This window comes from Homo sapiens, chromosome 19 (genome assembly GCF_000001405.40).
Source record: "Homo sapiens chromosome 19, GRCh38.p14 Primary Assembly".
Taxonomy (NCBI): domain Eukaryota; kingdom Metazoa; phylum Chordata; class Mammalia; order Primates; family Hominidae; genus Homo; species Homo sapiens.
In genome coordinates this window covers 7065347-7088011 of record NC_000019.10, presented here as the reverse complement: position 1 = coordinate 7088011, position 22665 = coordinate 7065347, and the positions used below count along the sequence as shown (strand labels likewise).

The window sequence follows — 22665 nt, the reverse complement described above, 5'->3', positions numbered from 1 at the left end:
CATAAACATATATAAAGTAAAAATGACAGAATTACAGAAAGAATTTGTTAATCTACCATGCTAGTGGAAGACTTTAATATACCTCTATCACTAAGTCAGGTCGAGAGAAACAAATACAGTACAAATTGAAAAACACAGTTTGAGTACGTATGTCCATCCTGTATCCAAAAATTAGATACATAGTATACTGTTTTCAGAGAATCATGGAGCACTTATAAAAACAGATCAATAAACAGGATTAACAGATAATGCATTCACCTGGAAGCTAACACAACACCCCCCAACCAAACACACACACACACACACACACTCTCTCTCTCTCTCTCTTTGGTTTTAACCAATTAGTGGTTACTTGTGATCATGTAAGAAGTCTAGTAATATGCAGAACAGAGCCAATGCAGCCAATCAAAGGTTTTTGAAGAACTCAAATCATTGTGATTTTTCGGCACTGTTTCTTTCTTTTTTTTTTTTTTTGAGATGGAGTTTTGCTCTTGTTGCCCAGGCTGGAGTGCAGTGGGTCAACCTTGGCTCACTGCAACCTCTGCCCAGTTTGAAGCAATTCTCCTGCCTCAGCCTTCCAAGTAGCTGAGATTACAGGCATGCGCCAACATGCTCGGTTAATTTTGTATTTTTAGGAGAGACAGGTTTTCTCCATGTTGATCAGGCTGGTCTCGAACTCCCCACCTCAGGTGATCCGCCTGCCTTGGCCTCCCAAAGTGGTGGGATTACAGGCGTGAGCCACCACGCCCAGCCCCTGCACTGTGGTTTTTATCACCACAGTGAAGAAAAAAAAAAAAAAAAAAAAAAAAGCTCTTTTAACTCTATGCTTTGTGTCCACTTTCCAAAAGAATGAAAAGAAAATAGATGAGAATAAGCCAGACGGTGTCTCACCCAGTGCGTTATTCCTACTTCTTTTAGCCAGCAGAGTGGGATAAAGCCTGTCTAAGCTTCAGGAAAGCCTAGTACACTGTACATCTTTTTTTGAGATGGAGTCTCACTCTGTCGCCCAAGCTGGAGTGTGGTTGTGCAATCTCGGCTCACTGCAACCTCCGCTTCCCAGGCTCAAGCGATTCTCCTGCCTCAGCCTCCCAAGTAGCTGGGATTACAGGCACCTGTCATCACGCCCAGCTAATTTTTGTATTTTTTTTAGTAGAGACGAGGTTTCACCACGTTGGCCAAGCTAGTCTTGAACTCCTGACCTCAGGTGGTCCGCCTGCCTCGGCCTCCCAAAGTGCTGGGATTACAGGCATGAGCCATGGCGCCTGGCCCCACTGTACATTTTCAATACTGCTCATTGACAACTTATCTTTTTCTTTAAGTAGGGAGAATGAACATTAAGAAACAGTATTTGTGCCGGGCATGGTGGCTCACGCCTGTAATCCCAGTGCTTTGGGAGGCCGAGGCAGGTGGATCACGAGGTCAGGAGATTGAGACCATACTGGCTAACACAGTGAAACCCCATTTCTACTAAAAATATGAAAAATTAGCCGGGCATGGTGATGGGCACCTGTAGTCCCAGCTACTCGGGAGGCTGAGGCAGGAGGATGGCGTGAATCTGGGAGGCAGAGCTTGCAGTGAGCCACAATCGCGCCACTGCATTCTAGCCTGGACAACAGAGCAAGACTCCGTCTCAAAAAAAAAAAAAAAAAAAAAAAGAAACAGTATTTGCTATATTAGGACACAAAGAGAAAACAACCAAAATCACAAAGTCCATGTACTCTGGCAAAATACTATTAAATTAGAAAAAAATATATCAAATATTGTCTGATTTTTTTTTTTTTGAGACAGAGTTGCACTCTTTTGCCCAGGCTGGAGTGAAGTGGCATGATCTTGGCTCACTGCAACCTCCATTTCCCGGGTTCAAGTGATTCTCCTTCCTCAGCCTCTTGAGTAGCTGGGATTATAGATGCCTGCCACCACACCCGGCTAATTTTTGTATTTTTTAGTAGAAGCGGGGTTTCACCATGTTGGCCAGGCTGGTCTCAAGCTCCTTACCTCCGGTGATCTGCCCGCCTCAGCCTCCCAAAATGCTAGGTTTATAGGTGTGAGCCACCACACCTGGCAAATGTCTAATTTCTATTATAACAAACTAGATCACTCAGGAGCTGTTTGGAAATACCTTTCTGAATATTTGGTGTATTGATGTTTTAGAATTATAATAAATACACTGTATATAAAACGAGGTAGTAAGATTTTCAGGACCACTATAGCCATAAATGTTTATATTAAAAGACTGAAAATGAACGAGCTAGTGGCCCAACCTACAAATGAGACATTGATGAAGGTAATTCCACATTCATAGCACTTACACCTTTTGTTCTAAGTTACTGCGTGGCCACTCAGTTAAGAGATGAGGCATCCTAACATTGATTACGTTCCTAGGGCTTCCTCTAAATGAATTCTCTCATGCATAAAGGGAGGAATCACTGAAAATTTTTCTGAAATTAATACACTCGTGAGTATTGCATCCAAGGAACATTTACATATTTTTCCTAATATAAGAGGTATCACTGAAAACATTCCCTCATCCTTTATCTTAAGAAGTTCTGGCTGAGAGTGGTAGCTCGTTCCTGTATTCCCAGCATTTTGGGAGGCTGAGGCAGGTGGATCACTTGAGCCCAGGAGTTTGAGAGCAGCCTGGGAAACATGGTGAATCCCCATCTTTACAAAAACTAGACAGGCATGGTGGTGCATGCCTACAGTCCCAGCTACTTGGGAGGCTGAGGTGGGAGGATCCCTTAAGCCTGGGAGGCAGAGGTTACAATAAGCCAAGATTGCACCACTGCACTACAGCCTGGGCACAGATGAAACCCTGTCTCAAAAAATAAATTGTATAAATTGTTATCTTACACTGAGTTAGGTTCCTAAAAATGTGGAAAAATGACATTCTAATACTGATGGAATTCAATGGTTTTTCTAGTATGAATCTCACTTCTTAAAAATGGAGAGAATATTCAAGGCTTTTATAGCATACCAAACTATACTGTCTTGTGCTTGGTAATATGACTGTTTGTGTCACAGGCTTTTCAACACTGTGTATACTCAACATATTCCTCTGTTGTATGATCTCCGAAATGTGACTTAAGGAATGAGTGTCCCCTGGTTTTCCATTTTTGATGCCACACACAGGGTTTCCCCTTATTGTGAGTTGTCATGTGACTCCCTGAAGCCATCACTGAAGGCTTTCCTACAGCTACTGCATTACCTGGGCAGCTCCCCAGTAGATACTTTTTTTTTGGTAGGGGGAAAGTTTGAGCTCAAAGTTTTACCATACAGATTACACTCACAAGATTTCTCTCTAGAGTGAGTTAACCTGTGGGTGATTGAATGCTACTCCCATATTGATCAGTTTAGAAGTTGGCTGGGCATGGTGGTTCATGCCTGTAATCCCAGTACTTCTGGAGGCCAAGATGAAAGGACTGCTTGAACCTAGGAGTTTGAGACTAGTCTGGGCAACATGGCAAAACCCTCCCTCTAGTTTAAAAAAAAACAAATTAGCCAGACATGGTGTCATGCACCTGTAGTCCCAGCTACATTGGAGGCTGGGGCAGGAGAATTACTTGATCCCAGGAAGTAGAGGCTGCAGTGAGCTGTGATCACACCACTGCGCTCCAGACTGGGTGACAGAGTGAGACATTGTCTTAAAAAAAAAAAAATGAGGGTCAGCTGAAGGCTTTCCTCCACTGATTTCATGGCAAGTTTTCCAGATGGTTCCAAATGTCTACTGTTCATACCTCCTGTGGTGTTCTTCCACATTGTATCAGGATTGGTGTGTATGACCAATGTAACAGGGACATGAAAACATATCTCACTGAAGCTAGGTCATAAAAGACATTATGCTTTCTGTGTTGGCTCCTTTAGATCACTGGCTTTGGGGAGAAGTTGCTTCCATAAAGAAACTCAGCCCTGTTGAGAGGCCTACGTGATTTGGAAGCGCAGCTCCCTTGGAAACAGCTAGCATGCACTTGTCGGGCTTGTAAGCCATTTGGAAGTGGTCCCTTCACCAGTAACAATTCTGGATGATTACAGTTCTGCTGACATCTGGACTGTAACCTCTTGAGATATCCTGAAGAACTATAGAGCTATGTTGTTTCTGAATTCCTGACCTACAAAAATTTTGAGATAACAAGTGTTTTTGTTTGAAGCCACAAAATTTTGGGGGGTAATTTGTTACACAGTAGCAGGTGATTCATACATCTTGTTAGAGTTTGCTCATGTTATCTGAGGCATGAAAGATCAATGAATGCTTTTCCCACAGTTATTGAATTCACATTTGCCTATTATGCATTCTCGTATGCACAGAAAGGTAGGAGTTACTTGTGAAGGATTTCCCGCAATAATTACATTCATAGGGTTTTTTTCCAGTGTGAGTTCTCATGTGTTTCTTAACGGATGAGAGAACATTAAAGGATTTTCCACAATCACTGCACTCATAGGATTTCTCTCCATTATGTATTCTCCTGTGAATTGTAAGAGAAAAGCTATTGGTAAAGGATTTCCCACACTCATTACATGTGTAGGGTTTTTCTCCAGTATGAGTTCTTATGTGCTGTGTCAGATTCGACCTCCTCCTGAAGGTTCTCCCACAATCGTGGCATTCGTAAGGGTACTCCCCTGTATGAATGCTATAGTGCGAAGAAAGAGATGACCTCGTGCCGAAAGCCTTTCCACACTGATTACATACATAATGACCCTCCCCCGTATGAACTCTCTTGTGCCTTGTGAAGATTGACTGAGTGCGGAACTCACGAAAACACTGGTTACATTTGTACGGTTTTTCTCCAGTGTGAATTCTCAAGTGCGGTCTGAGGTATGAGGAATTGCTGAAGGTTTTCCCACAGTCACTGCATTCGTAGGGTTTCTCCCCATTGTGGATTCTCTTATGAACAGTAAGGTAAGATCTGCTGCTGAAGGTTTTCCCACAGTCATTGCATTCATAGGGTTTCTCCCCATTGTGGATTCTCTTATGAACAGCAAGGTAAGATCTACTGCTGTAGGATTTCCCACATTCACTGCAGCCATAGGGTCTTTCTCCAGTATGAATCTTCCTGTGCCGTGTAAGGGAAGATTTTGTGCTGAAGACTTTAAAACACTGATTACATTCGTTGAGTGTTGCTCCAAGATGATTCCTCTCCTATTGATTAAGAGATGACAATAAGTACCATTTATAATATTTTTAACATTGAATGCTGTCAGAGGAATTTCCTCTCCCAGGAATTCTGTTGTGTATCATAGTATTGGAATTAATGTTTTTGCCATCATGAGTGCTGGTACATGGCTTCTGTCAGTTTGAATTCTTAGCATTTAAAGAAGATGGATTCTTTCTACAAATCTTTATCATATTCACAGAGTATTTTTGATAAATTTAAGGCTAATTTCTTTTTCAAATATCCAATATCTGACTCAGACTACTGGAAATATTTACTTGTGGGAATTCTCAGGAAAAACAAGTTTGGGGCTAACTAATGCTTTTCTCCAAATTCAAAATAATTTCACAGTATCTCTCCAGAGGTACTACTTTATCTTTGAAAAAAATGACACTTTCCTTTAATAACTATTTAATAAAGCCACTTTTTTTTTTTTTTTTTTTGAGACAGAGTCTTGCTCTGTCGCCAGGCTGGAGTGCAGTGGCACAATCTCGGCTCACTGCAAGCTCCACCTCCAGGGTTCAAGTGATTCTTCTGTTTCAGCTTCCCAAGTATTTGGGATTACAGGTGCGCATCACCACACCCAGCTAAGTTTTTTTTGTATTTTTAGTAGAGATGGGGTTTCACCGTATTGGCCAGGCTGGTCTCCAACTCCTGACCTGACCTCATGATCCAACTGCCTCAGCTTCCCAAGGTGCTGGGATTAAAGGCATGAGCCACTGTGCCTGGCCAACAAGGCCAGTCCTTGTGGCTTTTCTCATGTAGGGCATTCTACCATGAAAAAAACCAGGAATCACCCATGTTAGTCTTACCATTTTCATATTTCTAGATTGTTCTTTTCGAAAAACATGCAGCTTAGGAGTTAACCCTTTGGCTTTAAATGGATTCTCCACATCTGAAACAAGTTAAAAAGAAATTTAAGTTGATAGAAAAGAGGCAAATTTTAAGTTGATGGTGAAATAGTAAAATGCATACGTGAGTGAAGGCAGAATCTGAGAGGTGAGGGTTTTTGAGAAGGCATTCGGTGAAAGAGATATGGGTGTGAAAATTTTAGGCAATGTTTAAGAAAGACTCTAGGAAGATTGAGATTGATGTTGACAGAATGAAGGAATTGTCAGGAAGGCAAGGTGGACTGAAACTGATCAAAGAGCTCATAGGAGACTTAAATTTCAGAAAAAGAGATGTCTTTTTTTCTCCCCTGAGGCCCAAGTAAAGTATGAGATGACAGAAAGTTGGAAGTCATGAAGGTACATGAGGGGGCTCAGACCAAACGTTCTTGGCCTTCTTGGGAAAAGGGGCATTTACACAGTTCTCTGACTGATATTTCCTAATGTATTATAATACTCCCAACTTCTCAGTCCCTGGCCAGAGCTGTTCCTCACAAGGACTTATATCCACCTGGTGCTCACCTGGACAGGTACCTGAGAGAATTCCTCTCTCTTCTGTCATCACTTTATCTTCTTGCTCCAGCTGGGAGATCAGCCTAGGTTTATCAACTTGGTTCCCTGTACATGGAGAAAAGACACATGATGTAGGGGGACTGTGCAGCAGACAAGCTCTCCCATGAAACTGAAATCAGTTCTGAAGGTGAAGAGGTGTGACTTCAGGAGCAGAGAAATAATTATGCCAAAATTGAATAAATATAGCAACCGTCTTAAACACTCACACACACACACACACACACACACACACACACACACACACACACACACACCCCACAAGCAATATCTAGGGTGGTTGCAGGATAACTGGTCCCAGGAGCCCCTGTCCAGGTTTAAATACAGAATCTGAAAGCCCAAAAGATTTAACTACAGAGAATATATAGTCAGGGAAAGAAGGAGATCTTCATTTCATACAGATAGCATTAGACAGACAGCTCCATGAGGGTGGGGGGCATGTCTGTTGCATTCTTCACTACTCCCACATCCCAGCACAGACCTAGGAACAGAGGTGCTTATGAAGGACTTAAACGAAGTAATGTCAGTGAAGGTAGTGGAGTAGGGAACTCCACAACTCCATCCCTTCACAAAAACAGTATGTAAATGGGCAAACACAGAATCAACTTCATTGGAGCTCTTGAATGTCATCAAAAGTTTACAGCCACAGGAGAATGCCTAATCAAGACAAACAGCTGAATCTGGGTAAGAGAGATTTGTGACATTTTAACTGACTCTAGCTGCACACTCTATTCCCCATTTTGCCTTGAGGACAACAACCTGTGTTTCTAGTGCTGAAGGGAACAGAATGCACCTTATTCTCAAAAACCTGTGGCTGTTCTCTTCTGACCTGTCTGCTGGCTCCCTGATGGGCTGGATCAAAGGGCTTCCCTTTATTTGTGTAACTCCAAACTCTCCCAGGTCTGAAGAGGCTACACCTATGGAAGCTGGAGGGTGGAGAGGGAAGTGTGTCCCAACACATCTAAAGGCAAATCAGCCACTGCTCAATGGGGCAAGGGAAAACTGTGAAGCAAACAAAAGACTAACCAAAAAACCTGGGAGGAGAAGTTGGGAACAAGATGCTCTGAGGAGTAGAGCATCTTTCCACACCTTCTTTTCCCCCACAAGATGGAGTCTTGCTCTGTCGCCCAGGCTAGAGTGCAGTGGTGTGATCTCGGCTCACTGCAACCTCCACCTCCTGGGTTCAAGCAATTCTCCTGCCTCAGCCTCCCAAGTAGCTGGGATTACAAGCATTTGCCACCACGCCTGGCTGATTTTTTTGTATTTTTAGTAAAGATGTGGTTTCACCATCTTGGCCAGGCTGGTCTCCAACTCCTGACCTCAGGTGATCCGCCCACCTCAGCCTCCCAAAGTGCTGGGATTACAGGCATGAGCCACTGCGCCCGGCCTCCACACATTTCTAGAAGGCCATGCTCATACCCAGGGATGAACACATGCTCAGAGAAGATCTGAGAAGGCACCAAGCCCTCACCTTTGACTGACCTTCAGGCTCTGCATAAGAAGGAACTGAAGGCTAAGTCAGAGTTGTAAGATGCTTTAGCTGAGTTTTGAAGGCATGCTCCAACATGTAATTCAGATCCATTGGCAAAGACTGGTCATCTTTTGGGTTCCAGGTATTTAAAAAAATCTCTGACAAATTAATCCCAAGCTGAACACTAAGCTAACAGAACAGAGACTTCAGTGGCCACACATGACCAATACAGACGTTACAAAATTAGTTCAGAAATGTCACTAAACAAAGAAACAATACCAACTACAACAAACCTTGGGGAGGGGGGAAATCAGATTTAAAGAACTGCCATATTGTAATATTCTGAAAGTAGTTTTCAGCAAATAAATTATGAGGCATGTAAAGAAACAAAAAAATGGGCCGGGCGCGGTGGCTCATGGCTGTAATCCCAGCACTTTGGGAGGCCAAGGTGGGCGGATCACAAGGTCAGGAGATCGAGATCATCCTGGCTAACACGGTGAACCCTGTCTCTACTAAATATATAAAAAATTAGCGAGGCGTGGTGGTGGGCGCCTGTAGTCCCAGCTACTCGGGAGGCTGAGGCAGGAGAATGGCGTGAACCTGGGAGGCAGAGCTTGCAGTTAGCCAAGATTGCACCACTGCACTCCAGCCTGGGTGACAGAGTGAGACTCCATCTCAAAAAAAAAAAAAAAAAAAGAAACAAAAAATGAATGAAACTGCATTATAGGAAAAAAGAAATGAACAGAAATTTTCCATAAGGAAACCTAGTCATTGGATTTATTAGGCAACGACTTCAAATCAACTATTTCAAATATGCTCAAGGAGTTAATGGAAACTGTGTACAAAGAACTAATGGAAACCATGAGAATGAATTCTCACCAAATAGAGAAAATCATAAAGAGATGGAAATTATAAAAAGGAGCCAAATAGGAATTTTAAAATTGAAAAATATATATTATCTGAAATGAAAAATGTACTAGAGGGGTTCATCAGAAGACTTGATCAGGCAGAAGACACAATTAGTGAACTTGATGACAGGTCAATTAAGATTGCCTGATCTGTAGAGCAGAAATTAAAAATAAAGGGAAAAAAATGAACAGAGCCTAAGAAACCCAGAAGATACCATCAAACATCTGAATACACATAATGGGAGTTGCTACTGGAGAGGAGACAGAGAAAGGAGCAGAAGGAATATATGGAAAAATTGGCAAGGTGCAATGGGTCACGCTCTAATTACAGCACTTTGGGAAGCCGAGGTGGGAGGATCACCTGAGGTCAGGAGTTCGAGACCAGCCTAGCCAACATGGTGAAACCCTGTCTCTACTAAAAATACAAAAATTAGCTAGCTGTGGTGGTGCGCGTTTGTAATCCTAGCTACTGAGGAGGCTGAGGCAGGGAGAATTGCTTGAACCCAGGAGGCAGAGGTTGCAGTGAGCTGAGATCGTGCCAGTGCACTCCAGCCTGGGCGACAGAGTGAGACTCCGGGAAAAAAAAAAAAAAAGGAATATATGTAAAAATAATGGCCAAACTTTCCCAAATTTGATGAAAATTACAAGTCTACACATCAAAGCAGCTCAAGGATCTCCCAATAGGATACACTTAAAAACTCATACTGAGATACCTTAACATTAAACTGTCAAAAGCCAAAGACAGACTATCCTGAAAAATGGCAAGGGAGAAATAAGTCATCATGTACAAGATTAACAGCTGATTTGTCACCAGAAACCATGGAGGCCGCAAGCCAGTGGGATGATGACATACTCCAAGTACTGAAAGAAAAATATCAACCAAGAATTCTATCTCCTGCAAAACTATCATTCAAGATAGTAAAAAGGCAATCCACTGAATGGGAGGAAATCTTTGAAAATGATATATTTGATAAAGGTCTAGGATGCAGAACATATAAAGAACTCTTACAACTCAATAACGAAAAGGCAAACAATGCCCCCCAAATGGAAAAAGCACTTGAATGAACATTTCTTCAAAAAAGATGTATAAATGGCCAACAAGCACAAGAAAAGATGGCCAATCTCATCATTTTTTTTAGGGAATAGAAATAAAAACCACAATGAGACAGACAACCACAAGAATGGCTATCATAATTTTTTAAAAAAAGGAAAAGAGACAAATGTTGGTAAGGATGCAGAGAAACTAATACGTTGCTGGTCTCATGCACTGCTGGTAGGAATGTAAAATGGTGTAGCAGTTGTAGAAAAGTTTGGACATTCCTCAACACATTAAACACAGAATTACCACAGGACACAGAAGTTCCACTCCTAGGTATATACCCAAGAGAAAACAGGTGCTCAAGCAAAATCTTGTATATGAATGATCATAGCAGCACTACCCACAATAGCCAAAAGATGAGAACAGGCTAAATTTCCATCAGCTGATGAAATGATATATAAAAAGTGGTATATACACATAACGGAATAATATTCAACCATAAAAAGAATGAAGTTCTGCTATGTGCTACAACACAGCTGTACTTTGAAAACATCGGCCAGGCGTGGTGGCTCATCCCTGTAATCCCAGCAATTTGGGAGGCTGAGGTGGGTGGATCACTTGAGGCCAGGAGTTCAAGACCAGCCTGGCCAACATGGTGAAACCCCATCTCTATTAAAAACACAAAAATTTGCTGAGTGTGGTGGCGCATGCCTTTAGTCCCAGCTGTTGAGGAGGCTGAGGCAGGAGAACAGATTGAACCTGGAAGGTGGAGGCTGCAGTAAGCTGAGATCACACCACTGCACTCCAGCCTGGGTAACAGAGTGAAACTCCATCTCAAAAAAAAAAAAAAAAAAAAAGAAAGAAAACATTATGCTAAGCAAAAAGTGAGACACAAAAGACCACATTTTGTATGATTTCATTTATATAAAATGTCAAGAATTGGGCCAGGAATGGTAGCTCACATCTGTAATCCCAGCACTTTGGGAAGCTAAGGCAGGAGGATCACCTGAGCCCAAGAGTTTGAGACCAGCCAGGGCAACATAGCAAGACCCTGTCTCTACAAAAAATAAACAAATTAGCTGGGCGTGGTGGTCCGCACCTGTGGTCCCAGCTACTCAGGATCACGCCACTGCACTATAGCCTGGGTGACGGAGGGAGACACTGTCTAAAAACAACCCCCTCAAAAAGAAGAGACACATCTATAGAGACGGAAAGATTAGTGCCTGCCAAGATGTTCAGGAGGGAGAACTGGGGAGAGACCATTTCATGACTATGGGGCTTATTTTTGGTGTGACAACTATGTTCTGGAATTAGTGGTGATGGCTGTACTACACTGTGAACCTACGAAAAGCCACCAAATTGGACACTTTAAAATAGTTTAAATGGTGACTTTTGTGTCCTGTGTTACCTCAATTTAAAAAAAGAAAAAAAAGACTGACTTCCTGAGTCATTAAATAAATGCAGGAATGACATTAGGCTTACCCAGTGAGGCCAGGTTCCTGCAGTTCTCCAGCATCACGTCCCTGTACAGTGTCCTTTGGGCAGGGTCCAGCAATGCCCACTCCTCCTGGGTGAACTCCACGGCCACATCCTCAAAGGTCACCAAGCCCTAAAGCATTGCAAACATCACGGCTTAGCCAAGGACCACCCCCACCAATGTGCACAGGAAGAGGGGCCAGGAGAACAGAGCCAGGGCTGGGGAAACCTGAGCACGAGATGTGGGGGGATTCTGAGCTCCTCTCCTGAGGTTCTGAGCTCTTCTCCCTGGCTTCTGAGCTCAGCCCTCAATGCTTGTCTCCTTAGGCTACTCCCAGGTCCAGCGCACAGTACCGCAGAGCAGCTGTCTTTTCTCACTCAAACTGGGAGCTCCTATGATCTTATTTCCCTCAGTCTCCAGGGGATCATGGGCCCGTGACATGGCAGAAATCAGAGAAATACTTGGTAAGTGAATGAATGATTTCCGTATGGCCTTTATTAATTGCTTGGGTTTAGAACATCATCACGTCTTTACTTGGCTTTCCCTTAAAACTCTCAGGAGCACATGATGTACTCAGGGACTCTGGAGGGAGCTCTGAACCTGCAGTAAACGTTGACACACACTGACATTTTCTGGGCAGCCCTCACTCAGAGACCCTGGGATGCCTGAGGAACAAGTTTGGCCGTGGGGCTCCAGGCCACTGAAAGGCATCAAGTCCAACCTTCTGGCTGAAGGAATCATGATTTGGAAAAAGGAACATCCGACTCACCTTTAGCCAGCTTTTCAGGAGCTCATTAACCAGCTCTCCGCCCTCTGTGTGTCCTTCTCGCTGAGAGGCTGGGAACAGGGAAGACAGAGCTGGAGGAGGAGAAATGAGTACCAGGAATCCACACCTGCCCTGTGTCCACTCACACATCTGGAGGCTTCCCCACCTGCCTGCGATCGACCAGGTCCCCATGCATACACAGTCACCCACAAAGCATCCACCTCTACTCCAAGCAAACACCAACCCACAGCAATCCAAGGAAACCAGAGCATGGCCCTGCCGCATCCACGCCAGGAAACAGGGCTTAAGGTCTGACTGCACTTGGGGAAGGGATTATTCCCACTTCACAGATGAGGAAACTGAAGTTCCGAGGGCGTCACTGTGTTTTTATCAGGTTCACAGAAAGAACTGAAGGGAGAATTCAAAAGCTCCAGCACATTCACCACACAGGTGACATCCACAGACACCCAAATGCCTAAGTCCCAAGTCCCAAGAGCCGCCCGATCAGACACGGAGGACCTCTGGGCCCCTGGGGCTCCACTCCTGCCTCACCTGCTCTGCCCAACCCCCTCCCATCCCATGCTGTGGGTCAGGACCTTTCAAGCCTGGACTCTGAGAACTGCCAGGACCCCATGACTCACCGGCAGTTGGGGGCAGGACGACAGCCGCCATCCTGTGACTCCGACAGCAACAGGGCAGCCGGGAAGCAGGACGCTCCTCCTTTATCCCGCAGCGCTCTCAGGACAGCACCCTGGAAGAAATGGGGGGAACACTCTGCCTCGGTCACCCCCTCCAGCCCGTGCCCTGCGTCGGTCACCCCGTCTCCTGCCCGTGCCCTGCCTCGGTCACCCCGTCTCCTGCCCGTGCCCTGCCTCGGTCACCCCCCCTCCTGCCCGTGCCCTGCCTCGGTCACCCCCTCTCCAGCCCGTGCCCTGCCTCGGTCACACCCCCCCTCCAGTCCGTGCCCTGCCTCGGTCACCCCCCTCCAGCCCGTGCCCTGCCTCGGTCACCCCCTCTCCAGCCTGTGATCTGCCTTGACCACCCCCTCCTCCTGGTTTCCACCTCACCCAGCTCAGATGTCACTACCCCTCATTTCAGTTGATTTCCTCCTCCCCACTCCCCACTCTCATGCCAGCCCAGCAGAGCTCCAGCCATTTTCTATCAGAGACCCTAGGTTCCTGCAACTTCTAAGAATCGATCTGTAAGATACACAAATGTAAAAGTTGTGTAAGATTATTCACTGTGGCATTACAGTGCACCCATTAAAAAAAAAAGAGAGAAGATCTCTAGATATCAATAGAGGTTATTATCGTCAGTAAATTTAAGGGGAAAAAAAAGTACCAAATAGCATATATGGAATGTTTCCTTTTTTATGAGAAAAGAAGGGCTGTGTGTGTGTGTGTGTGTGTGTGTGTATATACACACAAAGATGAAAGCGGCTGGCCAGGCGCGGTGGCTCCTGTCTATAATCCCAGCACTTTGGGAGGCCGAGGCGGGCGGATCACGAGGTCAGGAGATCGAGACGATCCTGGCTAACATGGTGAAACCCCATCTCTACTAAAAAAATAAAAATAAAAAATTAGCTGGGCGTGATGGCACACACCTGGAATCCCAGCTATTTGGGAGGCTGAGGCAGGAGAATGGCGTGAACCTGGGAGGCAGAGCTTGTAGTGAGCCGGGATTGCACCATTGCACTCCAGCCTGGGCAACAGAGCAACACTCCATTTGGAAAAAAAAAAAAAAAGTGGTCAAGGGTGTGTGTGGGAGGGGTTGGTGGGGGCGGGGGCAGGCGCTGTCTGCAGTTAGAGACTTGTAAGAGTTTGGGCCAGGTAGACAAAACAGAGCTGTAGAGGGTGGACGGTGCTGGCTATTCATGGAAGGCAGGGCCACTCAGTCTCTCTAGGAATTTGTATTGAGATGTAGCATTCAGGCCCTGGCTTCCTTCTAGATCTCTTGCCCAGGGAATTTATCCTGGGTGACCCCCATACCCCCAATCTCCGGGGAGAGAAGGATTGGGAGAGGACTGAATGGAGAGCCATTCCCCACAGGCCAGTTGTTCGCTGGTACTTGGAGCCAAGCAGAGATGGGAGGCTCTTTCCCATTCCTGCCTGCAGCCTCACAGCCCCCACCCTCCAGTTAATATAGCTGCCAAGTGTCTCTGACATCTGGTCTCTGTGGTGTTAACAGAACCCCCAAAATTCACATATACATGTGAAAAGTTTATATATTTGTACTTATATGTAAAAGCCTGAAAGTTTTAGTATTATGACATGCAAGAAAATCTGTATTATAGCCAGGCACAGTGGCTCACGCCTGCAATCCCAGCACTTTGGGAGGCCGAGGTGGGCGGATCACCTGAGGTCAGCAGTTCAAGAACAGCCTGGCCAAGTTGGTGAAACCTTGTCTCTACTAAAAATATATTTAAAAAATTAGCTGGGCATGGTGGTGGGTGCCTGTAATCCCAGCTACTTGGGAGGATGAGGCAGGAGAATCGCTTGAACCCAGGAGGCAGAGGTTGCAGTGAGACCAGATCATGCCACTGCACTCTAGCCTGGGTGAGAGTAAGACTCCATCTCAAAAAAAAAAAAACAAAAAAAACCAAAAAAACAAATATCTGTATTATTTCTCTACAGTTCCATGTATTTATACTTGTTTGTGAGTGGGCTCTTCCAGCAGCTGTGTTGCACAAACGGTAGAGAAGAGAACTCTGCACAGGTGAGCCCCTGGTGGGTCGCCCCCTCTTCCCTCCCAAGTCCAAACCAGGCATAGCATTTCCTCACCCAGTTATTCCTCTCAAATCCCTTCTGCAGCCCTAGGGTCCCGACGTTGACCCCTCATTCACGTTTTATTGATACCTGCCCCCAGCTGGGTGCTGGAGATGGAGGGGAGGAAGATCCCTGTCATCTAAGAACTGGCTTTCTGGGAGCAGGACACACACACAGACCTGCTGCTGCATTTCAGAGTGATATGTGATATGGCAGAGGGGCACATGGCATCCAACCCAGGATCTGGGAAGAAGGGGACTGGGAAGCCTTGGAAGGAAAAACACTAAGAACATTTGAATTGAGTCTTGAGAGTCGAGGTAGGGTCTTGCTCAGTGGAAAGTGCACGTGCAGAGGCAGGAAAGCAAGCTGCTTAGGAAGCCAAGTTCACAGTTTGGAGCATGTGGACAAATAAGGGGCCAGAGTGCACGGGAAAGGTTGTATTTTGAAAGGTATTATAAAGAGTGGTGAGGAGTTTGAACATGAGAGGCAGTGGAGAGCCAGCAAAGGCTTTTCAGGCAGGCGAGTGACTAAAGCAAATTTATCTTTATGTATTTATTTTGAGACAGTCTTGCTCTGTCACCCAGGCTGGAGTACAATGGTGAGATCTCGGCTCACTGCAACCTCCGCCTCCTGGGTTCAAGCAATTCTGTCTGCCTCAGCCTCCCGAGTAGCTGGGATCATAGGTGCCCACCACCATGCCCAGCTAATTTTTGTATTTTTAGTAGAGACAGTGTTTTGCCATGTTGGCCAGGCTGGTCTCGAACTCCTGACCTCAGGCGATCTGCCCACCTCAGCCTCCCAAAGTGGTGGGATTACAGGTGTGAGCCACTGTGCCTGGCTGTATTTTTTTTTTTTTTTTTTTTTTTGAGACGGAGTCTCGCTCTGTCACCCAGGCTGGAGTGCACTGGCATGATCTCGGCTCACTGCAAGCTCCACCTCCCGGGTTTATGCCATTCCCTTGCCTCAGCCTCCCGAGTAGCTGGGACTACAGGCGCCTGCCACCACGCCCGGGTAATCTTTTTTTTTTTTTTTGTATTTTTAGTACAGACGGGGTTTCACCACGTTAGCCAGGATGGTCTCGATCTCCTGACCTCGTGATCTGCCTGCCTTGGCCTCCCGAAGTGCTGGGATTACAGGCGTGAGCCACCATGCCCAGCTTTTTTTTTTTTTTTTTTTTTTTTTGAGATGCAGTCTTGCTCTGTTGCCCAGGCTGAAGTGCAGCGGTGCCATCTTGGCTCACTGCAGTCTCCGCCTCCCAGGCTCAAGAGAGTCACCACACCCAGCTAATTTATATATTTTTAGTACAGACGGGGTTTCACCCTGTTGGCCAGGCTGGTCTTGAACTCCTGACCTCAGGTGATCCACCTACCTCGGCCTCCCAAAGTTCTGGGATTACAGACAGGCTTGAGCCACTGCTCCTGGCCACAAATTATCTTTTACAATAGCCGTTCTGGCTTCATTGCAATGGACAGATGGGAAGAGACTAGAACAATGCCGCCCAGCAGGGCTTTCTGGGATGATGGAAATGATCTTAATCTTTGCTGTTCAATAGGGGCATTAACCACATGTCGCTGTCAAGCACTTGAAATGTGGTTAGTGCGACTGAGAAGCTGAATTTAAAATTTTATGGAATCTTAATTGGTCTACATTTAAATTAAAACAACCGCATGGACCAGCAGCTACCTTATTATACAGCATAAGTCTACAGGCTGGCAGGCCTGTTAGGAAAAGAAAAAAATAAAAGAAAAATTGAGATGTCTTGGAAGGTTGAAAAAAAAACTTTTAAATAGTGTTTACATGTTTTGTGTACTGATTTGCATATAGCTGTATTTACTGACTTATTTTGACACACATTATCACACACCCCTTAGTATCCTTCTCTTGAATATAAGGCATCAAACAAATAATTTTTAAGATACCCTCACTCGTGGCTCACACCTGTAATCCCAGCACTTTAGGAGGCCGAGGTGGGTGGATCACCTGAAGTCAGGAGTTCGAGACCAGCCTGGCCAACATGGCAACACCCCATCTTTACTAAAAATACAAAAATTAGCTGGGCGTGGTGGTGCACCCTTGTCATTCCAGCTACTTGGGAGGCTGAGGCAGGAGAACTGCTTGAACCTGGGAGGCAGATGTTGCAATGAGCTGAGATCGCACCACTGCACTCCAGGCTGGGCAACGGAGTGAGACTCTGTCTCAAAAAAAAAAAAAAAAATACCCTCACTGTTAGTGAGTCCTTGTGTTTACAACCTGAACACAGGAAAAATCCATTCACAGGTTTTCTACACAGTGGAGTCTTGCAACTTGCAGGTTCTACACGGTACCTACCTGATCATACAGAAGTCCACGGATCAGTGAGGATAGGTGAAACTTGAGGCTGGTTTCAACACAAATCTGAGCTTGAATTATACTTTTTTCGTCTAAATAAAAAGGGCACAAAAATCGCTTATGAGGCCTTTTGTAGGGAGTAATATGTACGTATAGTAAAATGTATTTACTGAGACTAATACAGTTGTTGCATAGAAAGACCACCCCATTCACTTAAAAAAAATTGATTTAAAGAATAAGAACCCAGGCTACTGGCTGTGCCTGAATTCACCAGATTCCTATCCAGCCATCTGGTCCCTAAAATGGGACAAGAAGCTTAAAGCTGTTTTCATCTGACTTGCTTAACTCATTTGGCTGGAGATTGTATGGTGACTCCAGATGCTTTAAATTCGTCACTTTAGGCCTTATAAGTGGACTCGGCTGAATTCTAAATAATTTCTACAGTGTATTCAGGACTGCAGAGATTTTAATGCCCTCCAGCAGGGTTTCCCAACCTGGGCACTAATGACATTTGGGGCTGGATGAGTCTTTGCTGGCGGCGGCTGCTTTACGCGCTGCAGGATGCTGAGCTGCTAGCATCCCTGGCCTCCACCCTCTAGATTACAGTAGTAGCACAGTCCCTCCTACCCTCCATTTTGTGACATCCCAAACCGTCTCCAACTATAGCCAAAAGTCCCCTGGGGCGCAGAATCGCCCCGGGTGAGGGCGACAGGGTGAGGACGACAGAGTGAGGATGACAGGGGCGCGGGGCCCGGACACCGGAGGAAACAGCAGCTTCGGGCTTAACTGAGCGCACAGCCCGAGGCCTCAGGGGCGGAAACCCGGCTCCCGGGAGGGACGCAGGCCCGCGGCTGGGGCCCCTCTCTGGACTCGGACTCACGGAATGAAGCACCTCTCGCGGAGACCGAAAGATTCTCCCAGACGCTGCAAGCGCGGCTCTTCTCACAAGACACAAGCGCGCTTCCGCTTCCGGTCTCCGGCTAGCCACACTGCACCTCCGCTTCCGGCTCCAGCTGGTCCCAGCCCAAAATGCGGCGTGTCAGGACCCCCGGGTTCAGGCTGCAGGTGCAGCAGCCGCGCACCCCAGCCTCCGGCTGAGGTGTTCTAGTTTGCTTAGTTATTAATAGAACCAGGTTGGGCCCTGGCTAGGGACAGCCGCGGAGGCAGGGTCGTCCTGGCGCGGGTCTGTGGCAGGGTTGGGGGCGGAACTAGCTCTTGAGCGGGGCTGTGGGCGGTACCAGGCCTGGAGGCGGGCCTGAGTGTTGACGGGGACCAGTTCCGGGGGCGGGGACCAACTCTGGAGCGGGGCTGTGGGCGGTACCAGGCCTGGAGGCAGGGCTGAGTGTGGGTGGAGATCAGCTCCGGGGGTGGGGAGAAGTTCTGGGGCGGGACCGTGGGCGGTACCAGGCATGGGGGCGGGGCTGTCAGGACAGAGACTAAGTTCCGGGGCGAGGTTGTGGGCGGGCATTAGGTTTGATGGGCGGATCTTGCTGTGGGTTAATACCAGGTTTGGTGGGCGAGTATGTGGACAAGATAAGGCAGTGGTGGGGCATGGAATGGGGTTGAGCTAGTAGGCTGAGAGGACAAGACTTGGTGGAGGTCAGTTTTTGGGTGTAGGGCTTTTTGTGGATTTTAAAACTGTTCAGGTAGCAGGATGCAAAATGAACTCTTTAAAGTTTTCTTCAGTCATTTCTCCACATTCACCGCCTGTTAAAATGATATAGCCACACATTTAGGGCGTGTGTGTGTGTGTGTGTGTGTGTGGCTTTTCGTTTGTTTGTTTTGAGACAGGGTCTCACTCTGTGGCCCAGGCTGGAGTGCAGTGGTGCAATCATAGCTCACTGCAGCCTCGACCTCCTGAGCTCAAGCCATCCTTCCACCCGGGCCTCCCACACTACCAAGCCTGACTATTTTTGTATTTGTTTGTAGAGAGGAGGTCTGTGTTGCCCAGGATGGTCTAGAACTCATGGCCTCAAGTCATACCCCACTTCGGCCTCCCAAAGTGCTGAGATTACAGGTGTGAGCCACACCACACCCAGCCTTTTTGTGTGATTTTGAGCTTCCTAATTTCTTTCAAAAATGGGATCATGTATGCATATTTCTCCCATCCAGAGGGGGACGAGGGGAGGGAGGACTAGGGAGGGATGTCTCCAAGTGAAAGCCAAAGCTGATTAATTGTCTAGTGCACATCTGGATCTACTGAAAAGAGAACTACATTTCTGGTGGAGAAAATAGGTGTTGGATTCATAGGAAGAAATAAAAAAGGAAATTTTAAAATTTAAGAGATCAAAAGAAAAAATGAGAAAAAATTATTAATGACATACTACTTGTTACATGTCTGGCTAAGGTTTAGATGCTACAAATGGTAAATATTGATGTCATAAAATGATAAACATTGAATTTTGATTTATCCAGATTCCTTAAATGATTATGTTTGGTGAGGAAAATTAGTTTTACAGTACGTAAGAGTTATGTGCTAATTGTTTCGGAGAAGAAAGTAATTCAATATAGTTTAAAGCTGATAAATGAAAAAGCAGTATAAATACCTAACTTACAAATATGTAATTACTATCAGAAAAAAAAAAAAGTTGCTTCTAGGAGCCAGGCTACAGGGTGAGGAAGGGAGCTTTTCGTTGTGAAAATTAAGATGTTATTTGAGATCTATGTGTGAACACATACAGCCTGAATTTGTATGCAAAAGGAATCGCTAAACTCTAGGGAAAAAATGTGAATATGATTCACTTTACAACAATGGAATGTATTTGAAGACTCTGGAATTCAAGAATTAAAAGGAAAAAAAACCAAAAACCCTATGGCCATCCTAGTGGACAAATGAATGGGACATTACTTTCCAACCTGCCTGGTAATAAACAGTTTTACATACATTATCCCTAAATATTTTCACAGAGACCTATAAGGAAGGTGTTACTATCTATCACTATTTATAGATGAGGAAACATATGGTGATCTGTGTGCTAAATTTTTCATATTTCATTGTGGGCAACAAGCCATCCAGGTGCCGAGGCAAGAGACCGAGGGCATGAGCTGTTCCAGTATAATAAAATATATAAAATAAGAATAGTTATACTAGATACAGATCATAGATATGATTATATGTGAATAGCATTAATCATTAGTTTGTAGCAATTACTCTTTATTCCAATATTATAATAATCCTAACTCTACAATCATAACCTAGGAAAAACCAGGCCATACAGAGATAGGAGCTGAGGGGACATAGTAAGAAGTGACCAGAAGACGAGTGCGAGCCTTCTGTTATACCCGGACAGGGCCACTAGAGGCCTCCTTGGTCTAGCGGTAACGCCAGCGGCTGGGAAGACGCCTGTTGCCAAGCGGACCTTGGTCTAGCGGTAGTGTCAGTATCAAGGAAGAACACCCGCTACTTAGCAGACGGGGCAAGGGAGTCTCCCTTTCCCCAGGGGAGTTTAGAGAAGACTCTACTCCTCCACCTCTTGTGGAGGGCCTGACATCAATCAGGCTCGCCTGCAGTTATCTGGAGGCCTAACGGTCTCCCTGTGATGCTGTGCTTCAGTGGTCACACTCCTGGTCCTCTTTCATGTTCCATCCTGTACACCTGGCTCTGCCTTCTAGATAGCAGTGGCAAAATTAGTGAAAGTACTAAAAGTCTCCGATATGCAGAAATAATGGCGTAAACTGTCTCTCTCTCTCCCTCTCTCTCTCTGCCTCGGCTGCCAGGCAGGGAAGGGCCCCCTGTCCAGTGGACACGTGACCCACGTGACCTTACCTATCATTGGAGATGGCTCACACTCCTTACCCTGCTCCTTTTTCTTATATCCAATAAATATCAGCACAGCCTGGCATTCAGGGCCTCTACCAGTCTCTGCATCTTGGTGGTAGTGGTCCCCCAGTCCCAGCTGTCTTTTCTTTTATCTCTTTGTCTTTATTTCTACAATCTCTTGTCTCCACACACAGGGAGAAAAACCCACTGACCCTGTGGGGTTGGCCCCTACATTTCATAGTTCTTAATGTTGTTTTATTTAAAAGTTTTTAATTAGATTTTTAAAATTAATAAAATAATATATGCTCATTCTCACAAATATGGAGTATGTAAAACACAATTCAAAACTCCCTTTCCCGGGTGTGGTGGCTCATGCCTGTAATCACAGCACTTTGGGAGGCAGAGGTGGGTGGATCACTTGAGGTCAGGAGCTCGAAACCAGCCTGGCCAACATGATGAAACCCTGTCTCTACTAAAATTACAAAACAAATTAGCCGGGTGTGGTGCCTGTAATCTCAGCTACTCGGGAGGCTCAGGCAGGAGAATTGCTTGAACCTGGGAGGCAGAGGTTGCAGTGAGCCGAGATCACGCCATTGCACTCCAGACTGGGCAACAAGAGTGAAACTCCATCTCAAAAAAAAAAATTAAAGTAAAAAATAAGATAAAACTCCCTTTCCCTTCTCTAATTTGACTTTGAGGTGACCATTACTATAGTCCTTGCTCTACAAAAAATTAAACTTAAGACATGTAATAATATAATTTACTACATAAATACTAGAAAAAGCATTTTATCACAATATATATTCCTATATTGAGAGTTTTAAAATAGTTTTTAAAAATACTATAATACTATATACTAATTATTCTGGAGATTACTTTAAAAAATTAACAGACCATGGACTTTTTTCCAGGTAGATATGAGTGTTTAGCCAAGTCTTAAATAAGTGGTATGATATTCCAATTAATTGCTGTACCAAAATTTATTTAATCACTCATCTACTAACACATAGTCATATTATGTAGTCTTTTTTTTTTTTTAATTTTTTAAAAAGAGGCAGGGTTTTACCATGTTGCTCAGGTTGGTCTTGAACTTCTGACCTCAGGTGATCCACCTGCGTCGGCCTCCCAAAGTGCTGGGATTACAGGCGTGAGCCAGTGGACCCAGCCGAATAAATCAGATTTAATATCTAGACAGAGATGGATGCATACCTATAAAAATTTATAACCTATAAAAATTAATGTTAGAAAGTTTAATTTACCATCTAATTTCTAATTTTACTAACAGTAATAATATATATATTTTTGAGACAGGATCTCTCACTCTGCTGCTCAGGCTGGAGTGCAGTGGCTCCATCATGGCTCACTGTAGCCTCGAATTTCTGGGCTCAAGTGATCCTTCTGCCTCAGCCTCCTGAAGAGCTAGGACTACAGGTGCACACCACCACATCTGGCTAATTTAAAACATTTTTGTAGACATAGGGTCTTGCTATGTTATCCAGCTGGTCTTGAACTCCTAGCCTCAAGTGATCTGCTCACCTCGACCTCCT

The 22665-nt window shown here is 45.2% G+C and overlaps 1 protein-coding gene across 4 annotated transcripts, besides 3 other annotated features; it reads right to left on the bottom strand.

The window, feature by feature from the left end:
* Positions 1 to 43: 43 nt before the first annotated feature.
* On the bottom strand, positions 44 to 18309 carry ZNF557 (zinc finger protein 557). 4 transcript variants are annotated; one of them, NM_024341.3, is made up of 8 exons: positions 18239 to 18309; positions 17359 to 17450; positions 12907 to 13016; positions 12269 to 12357; positions 11505 to 11631; positions 6557 to 6652; positions 5960 to 6042; positions 44 to 5134 (listed from the first exon to the last, which is right to left on the bottom strand). In NM_024341.3, exons 3-8 carry the CDS (start codon positions 12935 to 12937, stop codon positions 4268 to 4270), a joined length of 1293 nt encoding a protein of 430 aa, NP_077317.2. In that variant the 5' UTR covers positions 12938 to 13016; positions 17359 to 17450; positions 18239 to 18309; the 3' UTR covers positions 44 to 4267. The 4 variants fall into 4 exon arrangements, with proteins under 4 accessions (NP_077317.2, NP_001037853.1, NP_001037852.1 ...); NM_001044388.2 differs by having other exon boundaries at positions 12269 to 12336; NM_001044387.2 differs by having other exon boundaries at positions 18251 to 18309.
* Positions 4728 to 4928: a silencer, noted in NCBI's record as "peak3313 fragment used in MPRA reporter construct". NCBI's record gives its function as "represses an SCP1 promoter by STARR-seq MPRAs in K562 erythroleukemia cells {active_cell/tissue: K562}" and the evidence as "EXISTENCE:reporter gene assay evidence [ECO:0000049][PMID:32103011]".
* Positions 4888 to 5088: a silencer, noted in NCBI's record as "peak3312 fragment used in MPRA reporter construct". NCBI's record gives its function as "represses an SCP1 promoter by STARR-seq MPRAs in K562 erythroleukemia cells {active_cell/tissue: K562}" and the evidence as "EXISTENCE:reporter gene assay evidence [ECO:0000049][PMID:32103011]".
* Positions 9688 to 9888: a silencer, noted in NCBI's record as "peak3311 fragment used in MPRA reporter construct". NCBI's record gives its function as "represses an SCP1 promoter by STARR-seq MPRAs in K562 erythroleukemia cells {active_cell/tissue: K562}" and the evidence as "EXISTENCE:reporter gene assay evidence [ECO:0000049][PMID:32103011]".
* Positions 18310 to 22665: the final 4356 nt, after the last annotated feature.